At 34.5% G+C, this 27894-nt stretch overlaps 1 protein-coding gene across 88 annotated transcripts in view; it reads left to right on the forward strand.

Moving 5' to 3' along the window:
• Positions 1–27894, forward strand: part of RIMS1 (regulating synaptic membrane exocytosis 1) — a 516596-nt gene that overhangs the window by 435730 nt on the left and 52972 nt on the right. For 55 of the 88 annotated variants that reach the window (NM_014989.7, XM_017010517.3, XM_047418419.1 and 52 more), the window contains one exon: positions 11321–11556. The exons of 25 other annotated variants lie outside the window; for them this stretch is intronic. In NM_014989.7, the coding sequence (NP_055804.2) occupies positions 11321–11556 (236 nt within the window). The remainder of the gene's footprint in view (positions 1–11320; positions 11557–27894) is intronic. 8 more of the 88 variants (NM_001350416.2, XM_017010546.3, NM_001350418.2 and 5 more) reach the window with 1 other exon arrangement.

Genomic DNA, 27894 nt, shown 5'->3' on the forward strand with positions numbered 1-27894 from the left:
GGACCATCTCAGGTCTGCCATTCTGTGGCAGAAGCAGGGTATTGGGGGACTGTATATAGGAATCAATGTGGCAAAAGCTATTCAGTATAATTTACAAATAAACTGGTATAGCATGATTTTAACGTATGTCTTCATTATGAAATCCTATGAACATTTTGATAACAACATAACTGGTCTAATTCTACCCTTATTCAAAAATAAGCAATAATATTACATGGTCACAGTTCCCCAGGCATGACAGTATAGTTTATATCAGACTAACTTCTCCACATATAAAACTATAAAAGCTGAACAAGAACAAATAATGAACAAGAACAAATAATGAACAACAACAGCAAAAACTATTGGAAGGCCTTTGAGAGCAACAAAGCAGGCAGAAATTTGAGTAGTTTCAATTTTTGAAAGGAGGGGAAAACACAAGGTAAGTGGTAAGTTCATCCTAGTTTCCTCTGAAGTTACTTTCCAATTTGGTGACATAGGATAATAGAGCCGTAAGCAGAGAGCAGTGTTCTTACTTACTAGGCTGAGAAAATAAATTTCACAATTCAGGAACTGACAGAGAAACTGGAAATTGTGAGGGTGGAAGGCTTCAAATTTTGCTATAGAATTCCTTCATACGTTGACCAGTGACCTGTCTATGCACAGGGAAGTTTCCAGGAAAGCAAACAAAAAGCAGCAGCTGGAAGGCCAAAGAGCCAAGCACAAATTCCAGCAGCTGCCAGTGCTGGGGAGATGGATTGGACTTCAAGTTCCCATAGTTAGAGGGGTATGACAAACACTTTTGATTTCTTTTAAATATCTCAGAAGGGCCAAACTCTAGAAATAAGCATTACACTCTGTGAATAATAGCAAATCTTTAAACCCAAACTCTGTACAAGAACAAGACGAAATCTTTCTGTCAATCAAATGAGAATTTTACCTATTTTGGAGGAAAATAATATCATACAGAGCCTCCACAGGGTTTCATCCACACAGTTTTACATCTGATTAAAATTTATGAGTCATGTTTAACAACGAGAAAAAGGACTACCTGGCTAAACACTAACAAGAGTTATCAAATAGAGAGAGACTTTAAAATATCTGTGATTAATATGTTAAAGAAATCAAAGGAGGATGGATTATTTAACAGAGACCTGGAATCCATTTTAAAAAATTAAATTATAATTTAAAAATTAAAAAAAAGTAATAGTGGGTTTAATGACATATGAGAAACAGTAAAACCAAGGATTAATGAACTAGTCAGTAGAAAGTATAGGAGTTGATGTACAGAGAGAAGAGACAGAAATTGGAGGAGAATATAAACAAGTTGAACATGATGAAAAATTCTAATGTATATAGAGTCCCAGAAGGAGAGGAAATGACAGAAGCAACACTTGAATACTGAATTACAGACCGACAATTTTCCAGGACTGATAAAAGACATCAAATTACAAATCTGAAATCTTTACATACCCAATAATATATGTAAGAGAGAAAAAAATCAGCATTATTGTAATCAAAGTACAGAAAACTAAAGGAAAACATTTCTTAAAAGAATCTCAGGGGAAAAAAGAGATAATATCTTTGGAGAAGCAAAGATATGACTAGCTGAAATTTCAGCACATATTATGAGACCCCAAATTTGATGGAATGGCCAAAAGAAAGAACTCTGAAAGGAAAAAACAAAAATGTCCAACTTACAATTTTATGCTTAGTAAATATTACCCAGAAATATCTTTCAGGAAATAAATAAATGAGTGCATGCATGCATAGATAGATAGATAGATAGATAGATAGATAGATAGATAGATAGATAGATAGAGAACAAAGAGAATTCATCATGAGGTGACCAGCACTACAAAAAATACTAATGGGAGTTCATGTTGAAGAAAAGTATCTCCAGTTGGAAGCACTAGCCTTGAGGAAGAATGAAGAACATTGGAAAGAGTTCATAATGATAAAAACAACATCTTGTGGTAGTTAAAACATATGTAGACGTGAAAAATATATAAAATACCTGAGTGAAAGGTGGGAGGGGAGTAAATGGAAGTAAGTTATTGTACAGATCTTGCATTATTTTGAAATTGGTTAAAATGTCTAACTTGAGGATTTAAGTAAGTCAAAGTGCATATTTTAATCTTTAGGGTAGTCACTAATAGCATAATAGAAGAATGCACAACTCAGATGCTAATAGTTGAAAAAATGTGGAATAATAAAAATACCTAATTAGGCAAAAGGAGAAGTAAAACAACAAACAGATGGGATGACTACAAATAAACAGAAAGTGGTGGATGGAACTACATCTGTATCAATAATTGCATCAAAAGTAAATGTACTCAGTAAAAATTACCAATATCATAGAATGAAAGGGGACAATAATACATATTATAGATATATAAATGATATTGTAAACAACTTACGATAGTAAGTTTTTCAATTCAGATCACAGTGAGCAAACTATGGCCAGCAGGCTAAATCTGGCCCACTGCCTATTATTGTGAATAAAGGTTTACTGGAACACATCTATGCCCATTTCCTAATATATCGTCTATGGCTGTTTTCCCGCCACAACAATTGAGTGGTTGCAACAGAGTCGAGTAGTTGCAACAGAGTCAGTATGAAATATTTACTATCTGGCCCTTTACAAAATAAATTTTCCTAACCCTGACTTACATGAAATATACAAATTTTCTGAAAAGTACAACTTACTAAAAATGACATAAGAATAAACTAAAAAGCTGAAGAGTTATATATTTAGTTTCTTAAATGATTCTGTAATTGTTTTCAACCTTTTCACCAAGAAATATCCTGACCCAGGTAGATCCTGATAATTACAAATATTTAAAGAATAAATACTCTTATCTTCCACAATTTTTTCCTAAGGAACATTTTGAAACTCGGTGATGGCAGCCTTTCCTTGATGCATTTGGTAAGGACATTACAAGATAGAAAAAATAGGACAAAATCTCTCATTAAAATAGAGAGACCCCAAACAAAATTTTAGCAAATTGAATCCAGATAGAGAGAGGGATGATAAATGATGGATGAATTCATAGATCATTATTTACAGTTTATGTGATTATGCATATAGGAAATATATAAAATATTTCTCTTCATGACAAACTTAGCTTAAAAACAATTACAGTCCATTTACATATATTCAATCCACTAAAAGAACCTAGAAGTCTATATAAATATATATATATAATAACTATTAGAATTAATGAATTTTGCAGAGTCACTGGGTATAAGGTTAACGTATGAAAAGGAATTTTATTTTTATGTACTAGCAACAAACAAACCTTAGGAAATGAAATTTACAAAATGCCATCAATGTAATATAGTCAGAAATATAAAATACCTAGAAATAAATCTAAGACCTAGGAATAAACTAACAAAATGTGCATAAGCCCTCAACACTGAAGACTACTTATAGCTTCACATAAAACTCAACACATGTATGTGTGTGGGAATGAGATTTAATAAAAATTACAGAGATCATTACTTCTTAAGGTCCAGCTTACTTGAAGAGATTGAATATAAATAGTGATCTAACTTGAGTTCATTTTTTAGTTCTGATTCTTATTATCAAAATAGGTCCACCAGACACCTTTAGGAGGTATTTAATGCCACCTTGATTATTAATCACCAGTCCCTGTGTTATGACCACTGAAAATTATAGGATGGATGCCTGGAGATGGCTTCTTAATATTGATCAACAATATTGATCTACTGTTTGTGGTTAGTAACTTGTGTATTGATCCAGATGTAAGTGTAGGGCTCATATAATTTTTGTTATTTAACTTTTAAAATTTTTGTAAACATCATTGTGAACTTATATGCATTATTATTCTTTATACTACTTGTTCCTTCTTAAGGCTTACAATAGAATTATGGTAGACTTCTAGGTTCTTTTAGTGGATTGAATGTATGTAAATTGATTGTAATTGTTTTTAAGCTAAGTTTGTCATGAAGAGTGGGAACTATCCTGACATAGCCCCTCGTGTCTTCTGAAAACATTCTTGCTTTCTGAAAGAAGGTGTTTTAGGACTTCTGTTTTTTATCCTCTTCCAAAACGTTGTGTCAGCCTCCTTACATTGTAATAATGGGCCAAAGTCTGGCAAATGAAGGTACAGATTTGATTGTCTTACATTACCCATCACTTCTGTATCTATAAGTAACAGTCTATGTTTGGGAAAGTAAGCTTCTGATGCTTTAATGTTATTTTATTATTTTTAAAAATTCTTGTTTAAATTGGTTTCTTGTTTGTCTGTTACCATAATTTAATTGATTTTATCCACATTACTTGTTTGTATTTTACCATCTATACAATCAGTACATATTCTACAATTGATGGCATGTCATCGTTTAATTAGCATTTTTCTTTCTTAGGAGAGAGACTCCATACCCCCATTCCAGAATTACTTGGTCTGATAGGCAGAACAATGTGCCCCCGACAAAGGGTTCCTATATCATAATCCTCAGAAAAATGGGGAATTGGGGTGTCAGATGGAATTAAGGTTGCTATTGTCTGAATTTAAAGTAGGGAGCTTGTACAAGGTTATCCAGTGGGCCCAGTGTAGTAACAGGAGTGCTTATAAGTGAAAAAAGGAGGGAGCAGAGTCAGTCAAAGACAGAGATATGACAATAGAAGCAGAGGTCACAGTGATTCCACATGTATGCAACCAGCCATTGTTCCCTTTGATGACAGAGGAAGGGGCCATCAGTTAAGGAATTTGGGCAGCCTACATAAACTAGAAAAGGCAAAGAAACATATTCTCCCCTAAAGCCTCCAGATGAAACATAGCCCAGCTGACACCTTGATTTTAGGGCTTCTGACCTCCAGAACTGAAAGATAATAAATTTGTGTTGTTTTAAGCCACCAAAAAAAAATACATAAAATAATGATGTGTCTTAATACTGATGGCATCTTTGATTTGGCTGAATGCGTATAGACACTTTATCACCTTTTCCATTTAATGCTTAATTATTTCATACCAAATCATATGTGTAATTTATAATGTGGACCAAAGTGTTATTACCACCAGATCTCATTTTCCATACCTATCAGTATGAGGTCCCCAAAATTCATTTCTTTTTATGGTTGATAATATTTCATTGTATGGATTTAACACATTTTGTTTCTCTATTCATCAGTTGATGGGCATTTGTTTTGTTTCCATCCACTTTTTGACTTTTGCGAATAATTTTGATATGAATAGTTCATATATGTTTGTGTGGATATATATTTTCGATTCTCTTGAGTATATACTTAGGAATGGAATTGCTGGATCATATGGTAGCTCTAGTTTACCTGTATTTAAAGTGCCATCATATTTTCTAAAGCAGCTGCATCACTTTACATCCCCATCAGCAATGTTGACGGCTCCAGTTTCTCCTAATTCTAGTCAACCTTTGTTATTGTCTATTTTTTATTATAGCCATCCTAGTACATTTAAAGTAGAATATCATTGTGGTTTTCATAAACCTGCTGTTAAGCCAAAATTATCAAACTACTTTGCTATCTTCAAGAATTCACTTTGATTCTACTGAGTTAGCAATTTTTTGAAAAGGGAATTTTCTTAAAATGGTAGCATTTTTAAAGTATTAGAAGTTCAGTTTCTTTCTTCTCTGGGATTCTTTAATTCTCTATGCTAGAATTAGGTAAGTACTCACCTGTACAGATCAATCAGAACAGAAGTTCTATTAAATGTAAAATACCATTCTACTATAAAGACACATGCACAAGTATGTTTATTACAGCAATATTCACAATAGCAAAGACTTGGAACCAACCCAAATGCCAATCAGTGATAGACTGGATAAAGAACATGTGGCACATATACACCATGGAATACTATGCAGCCATAAAAGGGTGAATTCATGTCCTTTGCAGGGACATGGATGAAGCTGGAAATCATCATTCTCAGCAAACTAACACAGGAACAGAAAATCAAACACCACATGTTCTCACTCATAAGTGGGAGTTGAACAATGACAACACAGGGAGGGGAATATCACACACCAAGGCCTGTCAGGGGGTAGGGGGCTATGGGAGGGATAGCATTAGGAGAAATACCTAATGTAGATGATGGGTTTGATGGGTGCAGCAAACCACCATGGCACGTATATACCTATGTAACAAACCTTCATGTTCTGCACATGTATCTCAGAACCTAAAGTGTAATAAAAAAAGAACTCCCCCCAAAAAATCTTATGTACCCCATAAATATATATAGCTACTATGTACCCATGAAATCAAAAATTAAAACTTATTTTTAAAACAAAAGTATAAAAACAAAATACCTTGGGATCTAATATTTGCTACTTGGACAACTATCCCTATGGTATACACAAAGTAAGAATGTTTTTGTCACCAATTAAAAATATTTTTTTTTAGCAAACAGAACTAGCAGGTTCAGTGTTACCACACAGCTATAGGGTTAAAATTAACGTAGTAATCTAAGCCTATATTTTAAAGGGTTTTTCTTCTTTCAGTATGCACAATATATTTCTTGAGTGATGTGAGTTTTTAGTAGCATTCAAAAAAAAATACTTGCAAAAATTCTACCAAACTAGATTTTCTGTCATCTGCCACCCAGCTTTCAATGTATTCCTGACACTGAAATCTGCTGGCCAGCCGTCTGACAGATTTCACCCATAGGTAGATTCCCTATTGTTACTGCCACTAGTTGGGAAAGTATTATTAGTCATAAGCAATGCAGAATCAGAGTCAGTCTTGCCAAGAACTGGAACCAGAAAGAAACAAAACAAAACAAAACAAAACAAAAACATGCATAGAAAACCAGAGTCAGAAAAAAAGAAAACAGAAAGAAGACTGTGCTGTTGCCTCTTGAGGTTAAATCTAGAAGCCAGGAAAAGGCATCCTTGGGCTTATAGAGCCCATGAAATGCCCTGCTTGGACAACACAGCTAATTGGCTTAAGTAGGGAGTTCATTTAAGTGTCTTTGGTGGGACTTCCAGTACTATCAGAACATAATTCTCCAAATTAAAACACTAATCACCAGAAAAATAGCAAATGTTGGAGCTTTAATTAATTAGTGAGAAAACCGACAGTATAACAAGCTGTTTCCAAAGATGATCCAAGAAACCCTTGTAATTTTGTACATGTACATATAGTTATTGGGGAAAATGGAATACTAAAATTAGATTACTAAGTTAGATTCAAAACTGGATAATGTATTCTAAGTCAATGAAACTATGACTTACCAGTTATCCACTCTAGAGCCAGATAGTAATCATATGCCCTTTATTAGTTTTTTTTTTTCAAATTAACATCTAACTTTACAAAGAATATAAAATGTTTGGACTACAATTATAAGAGTAAATACTAAGTCAAAATTTTACACTTCTGTAGAGAGTCAAATGACCCTTAGGTGCTCTTGTTAGCCAATGCACAAGCATGTTAGGGAATGCTCAAGAAAAGTGGCCAGAAAACCAATTTGGTTGGTTGGTTGGGTTTGTCTTACTTCCAAGATTGGATATTTTGTTCTTACTCTGAGCAGTTGGGTAGATGGGTGCCTATAATGTGATATGGAAGATTGGAGAGGGAGCAGGTTTTTTGAGGGTTGAACACTTTATGTTTGAGAGCCTTATTAGATATATCCAAGCAGATACGTCAGTTGACAGCTGGATATATAAATCTGGAGTCCAGGGCTGAGTACAAGGTGCAGGAAAACAATTGGGATCTGCAGCATATAGATACTACATAATGCTTGGAACCAGGTGAGACATCTGTGGAGTTCAGTTCATGTAGAAGAATATAGGCCAAAGGGCTGGGCATTGAGGAGCTCCTACATTTAGTGATAAAAGAGGATCAAGGTCCTGCCAGTGAGGCACAAGTTTGGAAAATCCATTAGAATAAAGTATTTCAAGACAAGGGAATCAAATTCTTTGACAAATGCATGACATATTGAGAGGTCAAAAGGATAAAGACTGGTAAGTGACAGGATTTGCTGTGTGGAGTTATTAGCGACTGATAAAAGACAGTTTTAGTGAAATGTTAGGGACAAAGCCTGATTCAAATTACTTCAGAAAAAAATAGGAGAGGATATATAAATAACTACTTGAGATTTTTCAGCAAAAAGTCTACAAGAAGGGGGGGATCAAAAGGAAAGGGATTTTGTTTGACTTTTAAAGATGGGTTATAGCACAGTATATTTCTATACTGATCACTTTTTTTCACTTCCTACTCATAAATCTATTCATTCAGCAATGGGAAGGGGGCTGTAGCAGTTTTAGTGGTGCATAAAGTGCATGCTGTTATGAAATATCAGAATCCCAATATAACCAGTACAAAATGTAAAACAAAGGACCAGGAGACAACAGTCATGAAGCTAGAGAGACTGAGTAGCTTTATAAAGCAGAAAACCTTAAGATGTGTCTTAAAAGATTCAGATATGTATAAGCGATAGGAATAATTTTTCAAGAAACAGAAGCAGAACAAATGAAAGGTAAGAAATGGGGCAGTAGAAAGCATATTTGTGCTGTAATCTTCAGATTGATTAGATTAATCTGACTGATTAGATTCTATGAACTGCCTCCTCAGTTAGAAGAAATGAAAATACCTTAAATGTTTTTCATTGAATATTATAATATTATAGACTGTTTAGGAAGCTACACAGGTCCTCATAAAAGAATGCTTTTAAGCATCTGGACATATATTTTTTGAGAAAAAAAAACTCATATTTTATTCAGCCAATCATTTTTCATATAACTTAACCCCCTCCCAATGATAACACTTGTTATACATATTTTTCTATTTTTTCCAGAACTTTTATTTGTCAAAATTGTAGAATATTTCACTGCTAAAATTGGATACCCGTGAAATAAACTTTTGAATCTTCCCAGTTCATCTTAAATTTTAATAATAAAATATGATAGTAGACATTTCCCTATACTCTTAAACTTCTTTATAAACTAAAGAACATTGCCCAGAATTTCACAATGGTGTTTTTTTGTGACTGATATTAGAGATGGAAATTTCAAGCTGTAATAGAATTCCATCTTTATGGAAATAATGGGAAGAAAAAAGGGTACATGTTAATTAATTCATACTTTCCTTTAAAGGTTAGAAAATCATCAGAAGAGAAGTTTTCAATAACCATTGTGGAGAGTGGGCTAAAATAATTGATGAGAGATGAGAAACCACTGCTTTCTCTGTTGTAGGCATTCGATTGAGCATGGACATTGTAACTATGAAATTGACCAAATCCTGACATTTCTGTAGATTCTCCAGCAGAATTCTGCAAGTAAAATAGTAAAGAAAAGCAGATAGAGTAGCCTTAAGGATGGGTGGCGTATTAGATAATGCATTCAAATATGTTGGTGAAGACACAGAAGAAATTGACCATAATACTTATCAGGAAAGAAAGTCTCCTGGAGTTGGGAATATAAATCCCACAGGAAACAGTTTGGGATTGATCATACATAATAATACTCTCATTTGTGTCTCAAAAAATGTACATAAAATGCATAGCAAAATTATCAGATTTGCAAATGACTTAAAATTTTGAGTTAATGAAAAACTGACTGGAATAAGTTGAAAGAATAAGAATCATTTATTATTATCAGAATTTTGATGTGGACAAGTTCAAGTAATGCAGCTAAGTATTAAAAATTACAAATTGTCCTCATCAAGTAGAGGTCTCAATTTTCAATTCACAATCCATGAAGGATCCTAAGGACCAGTCTTACCTCTTTTCCGTAGCTTATAAACTCTCCTTGCTGATCTTGCTCTCCCACCTTTATGAACTCACCTCATACCAATTTCTCTCTCATTATATATATGACAACAAACTTGTTACATAATCCCAACACTTTCTGTTTTATAATTTATAATCATATTAGGATTTTTTCTGACTCACATATTAAATGTCCTCACTGTTAAAGATGCTATATCAGCTAGTGTGTATTTTGTAGTTCAAAACAAGAAGTAGAAAATGAAGAAGATCAAAATGGTAATAAGGGTCATATAATTAGTTTTTGCAAATATTTTGAGGAAACATAAAATTAAGAGGGTCATTTTAGGTGTATCAAACCAGGTTTTTATTAGACAGAAATGTACTGGTCTAGATGGATAATAAAGCTGCATATGCATTGTAATTTAAAAGGTTGTAAGAATCCTAACATCATTCTCAGTAAACTATCGCAAGGACAAAAAACCAAACACCACATGTTCTCACTCATAGATGGGAATTGAACAATGAGAACACATGGACACAGGAAGGGGAACATCACACTCTGGGGACTGTTGTGGGGTGGGGGGAGGGGGGAGGGATAGCATTAGGAGATATACCTAATGCTAAATGATGAGTTAATGGGTGCAGCACACCAGCATGGCACATGTATACATATGTAACTAACCTGCACATTGTGCACATGTACCCTAAAACTTAAAGTATAAAAAAAAAAAAAAAGAATCCTAACATCCATGCTCCCTGCTTGCTTGCCCTACCTCTCCTCAACTCTCAGACGTAGTTTACTTTGGCTAGTAGAAAGGAGTTTTTCCCAGCTAACTTTCTATGCTGCATAAAATAATTAACAATAATATATTCTTTGGGGAGAGAAGGAATCTATTCAGGTAAACTGGTACAAGCTGGTAACATAGACAAGTTTTGATAGGAAAGAAAAAAATAAAAAGAAATCAGCCTACATCATGCGAGTGTGAGGCACTGAAAGAAGGAAATGAGATGAAGAAGTTTGTGTGGAGGAAGTGGAGCATGAGGGGACAAGGAAGGAGGAGGGAAAACTTAATCCAAAAGCATTTTGTTGTTGTTGTTTTAGTTTTAGTTTTTGCTTTCTTTGCAGTCTTAGACTCATTAAGCAAGATGTGTTAGTTAGAATCCCAAAGGGAAATTAGAACAAATACTGTTTTCATTTCTTAAGCCTTGTTATGTGGCACATTTAAAGAGTGTACGTTTTTAAAAATATTTTTCTCTCTGGAATATATATGAACTTTTCTTAATAATTGAAATATTTTAGTTTTTCTCTGGTAACATAGTAACTATACTGTTTACAAAATTGGTCAGTAACATTCATCTCCCCATGCATGGCATTTGTTGCACTTATTTTTACAATCTTTAAAAAGATTCTAAATTATTCCATGTTGAAATGGCATTGTTTTAAGCCATGTCTAGTAATAAATACTTTGCAGGTGGTGGTGTGATACTAAAGTATTTGTAGGTATAGATCCACTACTCAACTGCATTTTCTCCCTAAAAATGTGTCTGGATTATTTCAAAATAAATTAGATTTAGAATTTCAGTGATGCTGACCTGTAATTTATGGATGCATATATGTTTTTACTTTGTAAATATAGTTCATTTACCCCCAAAATGCAAGGCAGACGGATGGGGACTTCAGGAAGATCCATCATGAAGAGCACCAGTGTCAGTGGAGAGATGTACACACTGGAGCATAATGACGGCAGCCAGTCAGACACAGCTGTGGGTACAGTTGGAGCAGGTGGAAAGAAACGGAGATCCAGCCTTAGTGCCAAAGTGGTTGCCATAGTGTCTCGAAGGAGTAGAAGCACATCCCAGCTTAGTCAAACAGGTGAGTGATGTGAATTCAACCTAAACAACTCAATTCTTTTATGGAGAGAAAAACTTGATCTTCATGCTATGGCTTGTGATGGAATTGTGGCATATTTGGTTCTTCTTTGAAAAGAAAATTTATTTTTCTGTCTCTGAAAATCTGCTAAATTTATGGGTTTATTTTTTCTGTACAGCTCTCTTCACAAGGTATCACTTTTAAATCTGTAAAGTGGACAGATTTTTTAATTAAAAAAATTAAGGTCATATTTGCAAATATGCAAGGAAATGCAAAGAAGTATTAAACATCCAAATTTATTTACATGCAACGAAAGCAACAGGGTTCTCTTTTTCAAAATGTTCCATAATTCAATTACTTATTTTTGGCTATATCTATACTTTTTATAGAAAAGAAGGTCAGTTGTGCAACGTGACATATACTCTTCAAGGTACTGTATAAATATAATAATTGAACTGTACTTGCTATAGTTTCAATGTAAGTAAAAACCCAGCAGTGATTTTTACTTTAGAAAAATGGGTCAGTGGTTTTATGCAAGGAGTAATGTTTTAATACAAATATGTGTTTCAGATATTTTCTGCTGCTTATAAATTTAAAAGCTTAATGTCCTAAAGGTATATATTTAAAAAGCAAATACAAAAGGGAGAGTGGCTATTTTTGTATTGTAAAATATAACAAAACACTGCTTAAAATTATATAAAATTGGCCAGACAGATTAGATTATTCATTACTATGCTCAATACTATGTAAAATCAAAGGTAAGTGAAATATTGAAGCAATTTAAATAGCCAGCAACTGTTTTTTCTCTTAAAACCAACATTGGTTCCATTTTCTGTTCCTTAATAGCAAGAGCCTTATCACAAAATTTACTTATACCAAAAAGCTTTCACAAAATCCTTTTTATATCTCACTCAGCATTCTGGAAAGTACCTATTTTAAATTATTCATTCTACTGGATATATTGGCAAATAAATTAGAAGTAGGAAATTTGAGTCATGTCTTAAAATTACAGGATTAGAATGAACTTAGAATAGCTAGCATCCCTGTGATAGATCTGCATCTTTGCCCTTCCAATCAGATGAGCTGTTCTATTTGTTATGAAGGAGAATTATTTGTCTTCTTTAGAGTCAAGTTCCTTTACAGTAAGTATAAGAGGCATTTTTCATTTGTGTTGTTTCTTTTGTTTAAATTTTTTATGGTGGTGCTTCCTGGTTTTTGGTGTTTTGTTTGTTTGTTTTTTAAATTACACTTTAAGCTCTGGGATACATGCGCAGAAAGTGCAGGTTTGTTACATAGGTATACACGTGCCGTGATGGTTTGCTGCACCCATCAACCCACACCTACATTAGATATTTCTCCTAGGCCTCCTAGGAGATATTTCTGCTATCCCTCCCCTAGGCCCCCACCTGCTGACAGGCCCCGGTGTGTGATGTTCCCTTCCCTGTGTCCATGTGTTCTCATTGTTTAACTCCCACCTATAAGTGAGAACATTTAGTGTTTGGTTTTCTGTTCTTGTGTTAGTTTGCTGAGAATGGTGGTTTCCAGCTTCATCCATGTCCCTGCAAAGGGCTTCATCCTTTTTTATGGCTGCATAGTATTCCATTGTGTATGTGTGCCACATTTTCTTTACCTAGTCTCATTGATGGGCATTTGGGTTGGTTCCAAGTCTTTGCTATTGTGAACGGTGTTGGAATAAACATACATGTGCATGTGTCTTTATAGTAGAATGATTTATAATCCTTTGGATATATACCCAGTAATGGGATTGCTGGGTCAAATGGTATTTCTGGTTCTAGATGCTTGAGGAATCGCCACACTGTCTTCCACAATGGTTGAACTAATTTACATTCCCACCAACAGTGTAAAAGTGTTCCCATTTCTCCACATCCTCTCAAGCATCTGTTGTTTCCTGACTTTATAATGATTGCCATTCTAAATGGTGTGAGATGGTATCTCATTGTGGTTTTGATTTGCATTTCTCTAATGACCAGTGATGATGAGCTTTTTTTTCATACGTTTGTTGGCCACATTAAATGTCTTCTCTTGAGAAGTGTTTGTTCATATTCTTTGCCCATTTTATGATGGGGTTGTTCTTCTCTTGTAAATTTGTTTAAGTTCTTTCTAGATTCTGGTTATTAGCCCTTTGTCAGATGGATAGATTTTATTGGTATTGAAGTAATTCTTTACAGCATGAGGTGGTGGAGAAGGTTTTGACCACCAGACTTCAAAATACTTAAATGAAATGGAAACGTTATTTGATGTCCTTGAAGGAAACCAGTGTTTCCTATGTGAGAGATTGTAAGTTTACAAGTTGGTTTTACTTCTTCCCTCAACTTTCCAGTCTGTCTTTTTCTCTCTCTTCTCCCTCTTTACCCTCTTTTCCCCTCTAGCTAGTTAGTACCCTATCATTCATTACTTGAGCATAGTTTTCTTATAAAACACAGCAGTAATTTTGCATAAAAACTATACTTGTGGCTCATCTTTGTATTAATAAGTAATGGGTTCAAATTATGGTCATCAAAACACTTAGCCTCTTTGCTTTTTTCATTTATGTTTTATCTCAGTTATGGTCAGATGTTGACTTCAAATAACATCTTCCTTCCCAGAAGATGTATTGTTAATAACTTCATGGAATATCCTCTTTTCAGAGACTGGATTCCAGTGTACAGGTGGAAAAAGGAAATGGGATTATGAAGCCAAGATACCAAAATATGTAGTTCTGTTCCAAAGTGACTCAACGAATGAACTTTGACTTCTCTCTACAACTCAGTTTTCTTATATAATGATGGGTTGAATGGGATGTCCTCCTGTGAACTTTCTATGTGTAAAATTTTATGCTTCTCTTTCTACATAATAATTTTACCTTTCATTTGATAGCCTATCCTTAGATTTCAATCTTCTTGATCTTTCTAAAGCAAGTGACAAATGTTGATAACCCTCAATTATCACTCCTCTTTGTTTTAGTGCATAGCCTGATATTTCTCTTTCTTAGGACTTCCCCTAGTGATTTTTCCCATTCATTTAATTATCTTTCATCTCTCCTACAGAGATTTAACAAAATTCAGAATTATTCTAAGAAATGTTAGCTTTTATTGCTTCAGATTCTGCATTGACCATGAGATCTGTATTTCTGGATTCCTCTTCCCCTATGAAATATTACTTAATTTTAATCTCCCATAAGAAAGCCCCTCTTAGATTTCTCTCTTAAAATAACTTCGGATTCTCTTAATTTTCAGCCCTTACTTTCAATATAGATAGAAAGGGTATGACGTAGTAAAGAATGGTAAATTTTAAGAAAATGTCCCCAAGCCAGAAATATTTTGGAATTGAATGAACCTCCAGGTAAACTGCAGGTTGGGTTTTAAAATGTAAAGTTTTTAATCTCTGTTGATTTTAGTGGCCCAGCCTGTGTAATGTAAGGAATTGTCTCCCCTCACTCAATACTAACTGTATAATATTCCATATAATATCCTATATCTTCTCCTCACTTGAAAATGAAGGCATTATTGGGAAGGTTCTACAAATCTGTGCAAAGTCATTTCTAAATACACTTTTGAAATTATACTAATCAGTATCATAAGAATGATAAGTATTCATGTTTCTAAGTGGATAAAAGTAATATGTCTACATTTCTAGAGCTTTTTCCATGCTCTCTTAAGTTATGTTTGTGTGAGTGTATACAATTTCACTCCTTCATTGGTCACAAGAAACTTATGAAATGTTATTATTCCCATTTTTTTCTTTTTTATTTCATTTTATTTATTTTTTAAATTATACTTTAAGTTTTAGGGTACATGTGCACAATGTGCAGGTTTGTTACATATGTATACATGTGCCATGTTGGTGTGCTGCACCCATTAACTCGTCATTTAGCATTAGGTATATCTCCTAATGCTATCCCTCCCCCCTCCCCCCACCCCACAACAGGCCCTGGTGTGTGATGTTCCCCTTCCTTTGTCCACGTGTTCTCATTGTTCAATTCCCACCTATGAGTGAGAACATGCAGTGTTTGGTTTTTTGTCCTTGTGATAGTTTGCTGAGAATGATGGTTTCCAGCTTCATCCATGTCCATACAAAGGATAAGAACTCATCGTTTTTTATGGCTGCATAGTATTCCATGGTGTATATGTGCCACATTTCCTTAATCCAATCTATCATTGTTGGACATTTAGGTTGGTTCCAAGTCTTTGCTATTGTGAATAGTGCCGCAATAAACATACGTGTGTATGTGTCTTTATAGCAGCATGATTTATAGTCCTTTGGGTATATACCCAGTAATGGGATGGCTGGGTCAAATGGTATTTCTAGTTCTAGATCCCTGAGGAATCGCCACACTGACTTCCACAATGGTTGAACTAGTTTACAGTCCCACCAACAGTGTAAAAGTGTTCCTATTTCTCCACATCCTCTCCAGCACCTGTTGTTTCCTGACTTTTTAATGATCACCATTTTAACTGGTGTAAGATGGTATCTGACTGTGGTTTTGATTTGCATTTCTCTGATGGCCAGTGATGGTGAGCATTTTTTCATGTGTCTTAAGAAAACCTAGGCAATGCCATTCAGGACATAGGCATGGGCAAGGACTTCATGTCTAAAACACCAAAAGCAATGGCAACAAAAGCCAAAATTGACAAATGGGATCTAATTAAACTGAAGAGCTTCTGCACAGCAAAAGAAACCACCATCAGAGTGAACAGGCAACCTACAGAATGGGAGAAAATTTTTGCCACCTACTCATCTGACAAAGGGCTAATATCCAGCATCTACAATGAACTTAAACAAATTTACAAGAAAAAAACAACCCCATCAAAAAGTGGGCGAAGGATATGAACAGACACTTCTCAAAATAAGACATTTATGCAGCCAAAACACACAAGACATACTATTCCCATTTTAAAGTTGAAGACACTGAGACTTAGAGGGATTGGGTAATTTGCCCAAGGTCTCATAACTGATTGGGCCTGAATTTAAACCCAGGCTACCTGGTGCCAAACCCATGCTTTTAACCAACTTGTGAAGAGAGAGAGAGAGAGAGAGAGAGAGAGAGAGAGAGAGAAAGTGAGTGCAAGCACATTTGAGATTTTGAAATAAGTTCAAGCATTTATTGAACATCTATGTGGTTAGTACATGCTAGGCATCATGCCAAGGCACTGGGATAAGAGCTAGGGATGAAGGGATGAATGGCATACTGTTCCTGCTCTCAAGGATATCACAGTATCATAGAGCAAATCACATATAAATATTTCAGCTCAGAAAAGACAATTATATTAAATACAAGTGTCAGAGTGGTAGAACGGAAGCACAGGAAAGGACGAGAATCATTCCAAGAGGCTTTCTTGAAGAGGTAAAGCCTGAGCATAAAAACACAAATAAATCAGGATAAGTACACAAGGAAGGACTTTGCACAACTGAGGGAAGAGTACTTTTTTTTCATTTTCTGAATTATTTATATCTTTTTTTAAAATTATACTTTAAGTTTTAGGGCACATGTGCACAACGTGCAGGTTTGTTACATATGTATACATGTGCCATGTTGGTGTGCTGCACCCATTAACTCGTCATTTAGCATTAGGTATATCTCCTAATGCTATCCCTCCCCTATCCCCCCACCCCACAACAGTCCCCAGTGTGTGATGTTCCCCTTCCTTTGTCCATGTGTTCTCATTGTTCAATTCCCAGCTGTGAGTGAGAACATGCAGTGTTTGGTTTTTTTGTCCTTGCAATAGTTTGCTGAGAATGATGCTTTCCAGCTTCATCCATGTCCCTACAAAGGACATGAACTCATCATTTTTTATGGCTGCATAGTATTCCATGGTGTATATGTGCCACATTTTCTTCATCCAGTCTATCATTGTTGGACATTTGGGTTGGTTCCAAGTCTTTGCTATTGTGAATAGTGCCGCAATAAACGTACGTGTGCATGTGTCTTTATAGCAGCATGATTTATAGTCCTTTGGGTATATACCCAGTAATGGGATGGCTGGGTCAAATGGTATTTCTAGTTCTAGATCCCTGAGGAATTGCCACACTGACTTCCACAATGGTTGAACTAGTTTACAGTCCCACCAACAGTGTAAAAGTGTTCCTATTTCTCCACATCCTCTCCAGCACCTGTTGTTTCCTGACTTTTTAATGATCACCATTCTAACTGGTTTGAGATGGTATCTGATTGTGGTTTTGATTTGCATTTCTCTGATGGCCAGTGATGATGAGCATTTTTTCATGTGGTTTTTGGCTGCATAAATGTCTTCTTTTGAGAAGTGTCTGTTCATATCCTTCGCCCACTTGTTGATGGGGTTGTTTGTTTTTTTCTTGTAAATTTGTTTGAGTTCATTGTAGATTCTGGATATTAGCCCTTTGTCAGATGAGTAGGTTGCAAAATTTTCTCCCATTCTGTAGGTTGCCTGTTCACTCTGATGGTAGTTTCTTTTGCTGTGCAGAAGCTCTTTAGTTTAATTAGATCCCATTTGTCAATTTTGGCTTTTGTTGCCATTGCTTTTGGTGTTTTAGACATGAAGTCCTTGCCCATGCCTATGTCCTGAATGGTATTGCCTAGGTTTTCTTCTAGGGTTTTTATGGTTTTAGGTCTAACATTTAAGTCTTTAATCCATCTTGAATTAATTTTTATATAAGGTATAAGGAAGGGATCCAGTTTCAGCTTTCTACATATGGCTAGCCAGTTTTCCCAGCACCATTTATTAAATAGGGAATCCTTTCCCCATTTCTTGTTTTTGTCAGGTTTGTCAAAGATCAGATAGTTGTAGATATGCGGCATTATGCGAGGGCTCTGTTCTGTTCCATTGGTCTATATCTCTGTTTTGGTACCAGTACCATGCTATTTTCGTTTTTGTAGCCTTGTAGTATAGTTTGAAGTCAGGTAGCATGATGCCTCCAGCTTTGTTCTTTTGGCTTAGGGTTGACTTGGCAATGCGGGCTCTTTTTTGGTTCCATATGAACTTTAAAGTAGTTTTTTCCAATTCTGTGAAGAAAGTCGTTGGTAGCTTGATGGGGATGGCATTGAATGTATAAATTACCTTGGGCAGTATGGCCATTTTCACGATATTGATTCTTCCTATCCATGAGCATGGAATGTTCTTCCATTTGTTTGTATCCTCTTTTATTTCGTTGAGCAGTGGTTTGTAGTTCTCCTTGAAGAGGTCCTTCACATCCCTTGTAAGTTGGATTCCTAGGTATTTTATTCTCTTTGAAGCAATTGTGAATGGGAGTTCACTCATGATTTGGCTCTCTGTTTGTCTGTTATTGGTGTATAAGAATTCTTGTGGTTTTTGCACATTGATTTTGTATCCTGAGACTTTGCTGAAGTTGTTTACAGCTTAAGGAGATTTTGGGCTGAGACGACGGGGTTTTCTAGGTATACAATCATGTCATCTGCAAACAGGGACAATTTGACTTCCTCTTTTCCTAACTGAATGCCCTTTATTCCCTTCTCCTGCCTGATTGCCCTGGCCATTGATTAAATGTTGAAAATGGTGCTTAGTTTCCTGGGATATGAGAAAGAAATCTGTGTGGAATCTAAAACTATATGAAATACTTCTCTAATTCCAGTGGTTACCTCATCTCAGGACAGATCTCAAATCAAATAAGCTCCGTACAACTGAGACTATGATTTCTAATAGAACTTTTAAATTTTATGAAGAAGACATCTATAAATGTAAAATATCAGCTTTATAAACTAGAAATTACTCAATTTACTTTAACTTGTACTATTGGGTAACTGTATCTGCAGTACTATCCCAGGCACAGTGGGTGTTTCAAAAATAGAAGTATCATTTACACTGGAAGGAAATCATTCACACCTGAAATACACATGAACCAAGCAACAAAGTGAAAAAACATAAAGTAAAATGCCCGAAATAATAAAATCTAGTTCTATTTATGTATGTTATCAAAGGTAGTGGGGAGACAAATTGGTCAAGGATCTAAGTCCCTAGGATGAGGGCACATACAGAATTGGTAGATGATTTGTTCTAACCATTTAGTAAAATTATTTATTATATCATTAACAGCTGAGAATACTTTGTTAGCATAATATCTTTTCTCCAAATACTGACAAGATGTTGATGTTTATATTCTAATTATGGAAAATATTGCAGGACTCTTTCACAATTTTCAAACAGTTGTCAATTATGATGTGCTATGAATGTGTTAAAAATCACTTGTATGCTTCTTTAGTAATAGGTATTCTGTACCTTTCCAATATTTTTCCACTATCAAAGTTTATTTCTCCCCTGTGCAGATCCTTTCCTTCAAGACCCTGTTTAAGACCCTCTAACTCTATATGTTGTCCCCAATTATTTGAACAGTTTGTTTTTCTGAATTCCTAAATAGAGCTCTCTGACTTCACTGTCAACTTGCTGCCCACTCCACTCTCCATTTTGTCATTCATTTCAGCTCCTTCTCTCTGACCATCTCATTCATCTCTATCTTAATTCCCCTCCACAATTAGATTTAGCACGCAGTTCTTGTCATGGGTGGGAAAGGCTAGAACAGGATGTACTCTGGGTGGGAGCCCAAGGGGATAGGGCTAAAAGGTCTACAATGGGTTAGAGTGAGGCTGCCTTCACCATCCCTAAAATCTGTTCACATGCATGGTGCTGGGGCTGGCAAGATGGATAAATGGAGGTAACTCTTATGAACTTTTCTTCAGGGAGCTTAGCATTAGGAAGGAAAGAGATCAAATGTAGCAGTCCTTTTTTCTTTGATTCTACCAACATTTATTAGCACTTTTCTTGTACCAGACTCTGTAATTGAGGGAGTAGTAAGAGTAAGATGGGTGTGTGTGTGTGTGTGTGTGTGTGTGTGTGGGCATGCATGTTTCAGAACAAAGGAATCTGATCATTTTTCCAGGTGAAGAGTGGATATAACACCTCTAGATGGAGAGACTGAAAGATGATACGAATAATTTTAATTGTGCAGAGTTCCAGAGAACAGAGGCGATAATTCAAGAACACAAGTTTATTCTTGGAGACAGAGAAGGTTGATTTTTTTCCTTGAGTATGACAGAAAAGAGGAAATGGCTGAAATACAAAGGAATATTGCAATGGGGATATTGAAAGCTGAAGGAGCTTGAGTCAGAGGCTGCTTGATCTTCTCAGTGCAAATGAGGTATTAACAAATGGAGAGAGTGAGGATATAGGGTGAGCAATGTTGTAAGAAATTAATTGGTATGAATAAAATCCTGCTGAGCAGCACTTATCCAGCTAAGTTTGGATAATGCAAGTCATGTGGAAAGTAACTTTAAAAAAACATTTATCAGGGATCAAGGCCTCCCTTGCAGGTATCTGGTTCACATTAGCTATTCTTTTGTCTTTCAAGATTGTCATCCCCTGCCTTTGTGCATCTCCAGTGTCCTTGCCAAGGTGTCTGAAATGACCATAAGATTCTTTGAGAATATATTGCCACATTCTTTAAGACTTAGAGAAAATATCTGGTTAAGTCTAGATTCTTAAGCCCATTTAATGATTCACCTGTCTTGGGCTGCTATTTACTGTTTAGTTTGACTCTTTTTAGCATGCATATTATTATTATTATTATTGGAGAAAATTGAAGCTCTGCTCTTTCATTCTTATCTATTAATATTGTGTCTTCTCAAGGAAATAAGAAAATCTTACTCCTTTCTTTTCTTTCTTCTTCTTCTTCTTTTTTTTTTTTTTTTTTTTTTTTGTGTGTGTGGTCTTGAACTCCTGGCCTCAAATGATCTTCCTGCCTCAGCCTCCCAAAGTCCTGGGATTACTGGCATGAGTCACCACACCTGGCTCATTCTTTTTCTTAATATGGCTCTAAATGGCTTTTTATTTTTTTTGCTTTGGCAATTTATTTCTAGGAAATTAAATAATTCTTTCATTATAATCAAGGGAATGAAAGACTTCAGGAGGTCCATAGTGGAGTTCAAAACCATATGGAGTTCACTATTCTACAAGATTATACAGGCAATAATATAAGTATTCTAAGGTGTTTTAGGTAGATTTATAGATGTTAGATTTCAAAATGGGTTAATAAGTGTTTATGAATTTCCAAGGTGTATCACTAACTTCTCAAGATGAAATCATATATAGAAACTATCAAAATTTTCCTTGTTCTACTGTCAAGAAATGAATAATATACACTGATATAACTGTAACTCACATCTAAAGGGATAGTGCTTGAATAAGCTAATTTACAATGAGTTCAAGGTATTATTTTAAAATTCTTATGGTCCTTAGACAATAATTATGCCAACAAATGTGAAAAATATTAAATCTCCTTCTGTTAATTTTTTCCAGTTTTATTACCCAAAAGTCACACAGGTAATGCAAGTCATGAAATAAATCAAATGAGCACCTTCCTGGAGAGCCTACTTTATTTACCTTGGGAAAATGGATGACATTTGCCCTAGGACTTATTTTTCTCCTTCTAACCAATACAGTTTACCAAAATGTTCTCTGGTAATTTTAAGTCTGGTATGGCTTTGTGAAGACTCTCTGCCTTTTCTCTTAGAAAAATAATGTTATAGCTGCAGGGAAGGAAGGCTAAGGTGGTGTCTTTGAACATTCTAAGAAATGTTTTCTTGGCTCTGTTGATTATTAACAATATAAGCCAAAAATTCTTACAAAGTATGTAGGCCCTTCCAAAGTTTCAGAAACTGAAAGCTACAGTGGATCAAAATATTGCTGAAATCTAAATTCCTTATTTGTGCCTTATTGCCTCATTTACTTGATTCATTTAATGGCACAAGAAAAACATTCTGAAGAATGTAATATTTCATGTTCTTTGTTTCCTGAACACAAAATCATGGTACCAGAAATGATTCTCAAGTTGGCGAAACCATCAAATGAATGTAAGCATGGGTTCTTTTATTTACTGTTGCTGTCTGCCTTAGGAATTCACTACTGTTAATAGAGATTCAATTCAGCTAAAGTAACTCATCTTCTAAAGAGATGCCCTAATAAGGATTAGTATTTTCAAACATACTCCAGCTGGTCTATGTTTGTTCTTTTCCTTGCTCTGAAATATAAATTTTACGTTTGGCTAAGATATAGATATACTTTTAGGTTGGCTTGGCAGAAAAAATTATTGATTTCAGTGGAATTAATTTTTATAATTAATTTGTATTTCAGGGTTTGGAGGAGGGAAGGAAACTAAATTTATTAAGTGCCTTCAAAGCACAACACTTAGCACTAAAATAATTACACATGTTGATATTTTTAACTATACTAAGATGATTGTTAAGCATGAGATCAGTTTCAAAATAGGTGTCACAAAACATTTCAGGCAGCTAAAGATGTAACAAGAAATGTGTCTGATTATTTTTAAGATGACCAATTTTAATACATCCTTATTTAATTCAGAGTGTTTTTTCATAGAGATTTTTGTTGATTGATTTTCACATTTTAAATACAGAAAGGCAAAAAGAAGATATATAAAACTCCTGTGGTATCACCACTAATTGCAAAGTCAGTGTGAAAATGATAGTTTATTATTGGATAATTTTTCTATGCATTTGTATTATTAATATTGATAAAACCATTAGCAATAATAGTTGTGATTTAGTGAGCAATTATTACATGCCAACCAGTGTTTTAATTTTTTACATGTGTTAATTCCTTCAATTCACAAAAAACAGCCATGAAATACTCTTATTATTTGCATTTTACAGGTTCCATGACTTGTCTGAGGTATCACAACTCTTAAAACTTGAAGTAGAGCTTATGTTCTCAACCACTTTACTATAATTCCGTTCCAACTGTATGTTCACACAGAGAGATACCTTTTTGATAGAGATTTTTTAAACAAGCATAGATTTATAATATTTAATTTTGTTTTATAATCTTGCCTTTTTTCACTTTAAAAAATGTGTATTTAAGACCACTTAGTACACCATCACGGGATGCTTGTACTAGGGTGGAACTGGAAGGAGCTTAGAATTATGTCTTAGAATAAACAGTCTTTTGTATCTGAGCATTTGGGCAATAGGGAGAAGAGGAATATTAGAGATAAGGTTACGTGATGTTACCATTTACTAAGAGGGTGGTTGTTGGGAAAGGACCACATTTGCCAATTCTGGCAGTGTTGAGCTTGGGACCATCATAGGAAATGTGTTTTAGGCAATTTGAGGATCAACAACATAGAACTGGCAATTGAAATCAATGAAGTTACTTAGGAAAGAAGTATAAAATACAAGTAAAGAGGATCTAGAAGAGGCTCCTGCAGAAAACAAAAAGTTAAAGGTCCTTTTTGACCCTCCATTTTCGCAACTATAATATGGAACCATAAATGGTACCTACCTCAGAAGACTGTTGTGGAGATTAAATAAATGTTTTAAACAATTTAGCAAAGTACCTGACAAGGGATCAGTAATAATAATTAGCAGTTTTAATAATTCTGGGGAACCAAATACAAGGGTAAGTAGATAAAGAAAAGGTATCAGTGACATCGTTCATGAATAGCAGTCAGAGTTAGATTAATCCAGCTAATATTTTTATCTGTTCATTACATGTAGTTAATAGAATACAAGAATAGAATCTTAAGATCTAACGCTTGAGTTCTTCTAAGTCAGTATTTCTCAAAGTTCCTCAAGTCAAGTCCACCTTTGAGGATCTGGTGAAATCTGTTAGTCCTAGCCTCAGTAAATTGCACTTGTTCACATACGCCACTGTGTAAACAAACATGAAAGATGTTTATGAACTCCCAGAAGTATGTTCATCCCAAATTAGGCATAATCTGCCAGACAGAAATCCAAGTTTTCTTTTTGCCAGTTCCCTCCCTTCTGCTCTGTTACTCAGCCTTCACTCTATTAGGTTAGAGGTCACCAAAGTCTGGCTTAGAGTCTGGTTTTTAGGGCCCATGAGAGAATAAATATTTTTATGTTTTTTAAATGGTTTAAAAAAATAAAAATGAGAATAATATTTTGTGATATGTGAAAATTCTGAGAAATCAAATTTTTATGTCAATAAACATAGTTTTATTGAAATACAGCCATCTTCATTCATTTACATGTTGTCTATGGCTACTTGTGTGCTACAAAGTCAGAGACCGCTTAATCCACAAAGTTATAAATATTTACTGTCTAGTCCTTTAAGGAGAACATTCCTTAAGGTCTGCTGTAGGCCAACAACTTAGTGCCTGCAATGCAGAAGAAGGTATTAGTGAACAATAATCATTTCTATCATTGTTCTCTGCTTCTCAGAGTCAGGAGTTAATTTACCCTACTTCCATGACTTTATTTTTTTCCATATACCTGTCATGTTTACATTTATACCATACGTCTATTGATATCTCTTGTTAGACACAGTGATTCTCAGAACGAAGACTTATGCCCCCATAGATAAGACTCTTTATATCTTCAACTTTGCCCTAAAATTGATACCTGGCTTAGCTGTTTACATAAAGTAGTAAAAGCACGTCACTCAACCCTAATTTTCCCAGTTGGGGGCTCAAGGACCAAGTCTGTGATTTCAGTGATTGTATCCCAGTATGTAGCACAAAGCCTGTACCACATACAGAAAAGTTTTCTGGAATGAAAGAAACTTTTGGAAGAGTTTTCTGTATTCCCTTTCTTTCTGAGGCCACTCAGTCCCCCTCACTGCAGTCTGAATTCTGTCTATTCGATTTCCCCAAACTGTTCTTAGTAGATCACAGAAAGTTTATAGATATGAACTTATTTTAATAATTTAACTTATGGTGTAGGCCACAGATATTGTGCACATGTGAAACCAATGTGATGTATGTAACAGAAAAATAGTAAAAAATGTCCACTTTTATTTGACATGAGCAAATGATTCTTATTTATGTTCCATCTCTTAAATGTGTAACTTCATTTCTTTCTATGCATCAGACCTATCTTCCTGGGGTTCACAGAACACAACTTAAAGCTTCTTTCTTTGTACCTCTCTACAGGTGCTCTACCCAGAAAATTCTTAATCTGTCAGTTTGTCTGTCAAAATCTTTCTCTTCATTCAAGCCCTACCCAAATATCAACTTCCTACCAGGACCGAAAGTAATTTTTTTAAGTCCTATAAGACTTTTAGGGAGTTCTCATGTGGTGCTGTTTACATCTGTAGAATTCATGTCACAAAATGAACTCCGAAGTAAATCAAGGGTAATGACCACGCAACAGGTTTTTTCTGGTCTTTCACAACAGTGCATTTAATGCAGAAGAATCTTGATAAACGTCTGTTAGATAGGTGAATGTGATGTTTGCTTAGTCAAAACATAATGCTCAAATGGTAATTAATTGATCAAATCATGGTATAATATTTCATTTAACATTGTGACAAGCAAGCTCTTCTTAGTGGGTAAATTTTTCTTCTATGTTTGGTTTGTTATTCTTAGGAAATAAAAACATGTTTTTTAAGTTGTAACAAGTACAGTTGACTCTTAAACAATGCAGTTTGAGCTTCGCAGGCCCGCTTATACACAAATTTTTTTGTCAAACAAATGCAAATCCAAAATAAAGTATTCATGGGAAATATTATAGAAACCTGCATATGCGGAGGGATAGCTTTGATTTTGGTATACATGGTGGTCATCCTGGAGTCAATCCCCAACGTTTACTGTCGGACGACTGTAGAAGTGATTTGTCTATTACTTTGCAACCTCCCTTTTCCTTTCTTTCTCTTCTTTGCTTATATATCACTTCAAAAGCACCTGAACATTGCTCTCGATAGATTTAACCAGTTAATTCTACCTTATTGCTTTTAAATATTAACTCTTTTATAAGCAAGAATAAATAATTATCATTTTAAGATTTTGATTTTTTAATAGATTCAGAGGGTACATTTGCAGGTTTGTTACATGGATAAATTGCCTAATGGTGAGGTTTGGGCTTCTAGTGTACCCATCACCCAAATAGTAAACACTGTACCCGATAGGTACTTTTTTTCAGCACTCACTCCCTTTACTGCCCTCTCCCCTTTGTGGAACCTCCAGAATTGGTGCTGATTTAACTACTTTACCATTACAGTAAATGTCAAATAAAGTAATATTTTATTAGAAAATTATTGAAAGATAAAAATGTACATTTATGAGAAATAATAATGATTGATAAAGATATTAATTTACAACATCCTTTTATATCATTTATAAAAGGTTTATTAACCTTATGAAAATACTTAAGTATTTAAGCAAAAATGCCCAGATTTTTTGGGAATCTTTCTTTTGTTGGGCATAGGGCCAGAGGAGGCTTGTGAACAAAGGATCTACTGTAACTGCTTTTCAAGTAAGCTAGTGAATTCTTACTTGGGAAACAAACCTCTGATATTGAAGCAGTACATTGTGATACTCATTACAAAATCATTTATACTGTAAAGATTATTTTCTTACAACCGAAAAATGTGGTACACCCAATGATTAGTCATAGTTTTAGTGAAGCTTAACAGACTTTATGTTCTAGGTCTACAAGGAGGTAAAAAACATTCTGTGTTCCAGATTCAAAGTCAGTGCCATAGGATGTTTTTGTAAATGGAAATACCATACTTATTTTTCTCTTAATTTGAAACTATGAAGATTCTGACAAGTAATCAAATAGTAAATAATTATACTACATTTAGGAAAGTTTCAACTGAAAGAGATTAAAACTTATTTGTAATAACTAAAGTTACATTTATAAATAGGCATATAGTTGCATTGAAACACTGCTATATCTAGTGATGTAATGATGTAAAAGTATATTAGTTGGGAAATATAAAAATTAACATATATATTAATATTTTTATCACTCTGAATTTGAAATTGTAAGAATGAATATTTGACCTGTCTACCTGCATTATGGAAACTGAAAATGGATGTAAATACTCTAATGAGGAAGGATTCTTTAAAGGAAAGGATATTGATTAGAAACTTACCGGAAAGGGTTGATTAGAAACCCACAGGAAAAATAAAGCCAAAACAAAGTTAATCATCTTTAGGTAACTTAACCTGCTGCTGAAAATACTAGTTCCTGTTTATAGTTTCTACCTTGGGAAGTACACTCAACCTATTATTCAATTGTTTTTAAAAAGGAAAAATAAAACAGAAGAATCATTTTAAGAAAATATTACATAAAATTTATAGAGATTTATAACTAGTGTAGGATTCTGTGATCTTCGGCTAATCAAAGAAGAAAACATACTAATTGTCATAGGTTTTGGAGACTTATTGAGAAGATTGTTGTGAATAGCAAGGAAAATAGTAGGAAAAATTTACCTTTGAAGTAAAAATTTACTCTCACTTCAGTTCTTTGGCTTTCTATAATGCTTAATAATTCTGTCTTCTCATGGATCATTCTTTATTCTCTTTCAAATCACAGTTTGAAAAGTATATTTTTGTGGGAAAAATATTTAATAAATCACAGAATTTTAAAAA

This window comes from Homo sapiens, chromosome 6 (assembly GCF_000001405.40).
Source record: "Homo sapiens chromosome 6, GRCh38.p14 Primary Assembly".
In the NCBI taxonomy this organism is placed as follows: domain Eukaryota; kingdom Metazoa; phylum Chordata; class Mammalia; order Primates; family Hominidae; genus Homo; species Homo sapiens.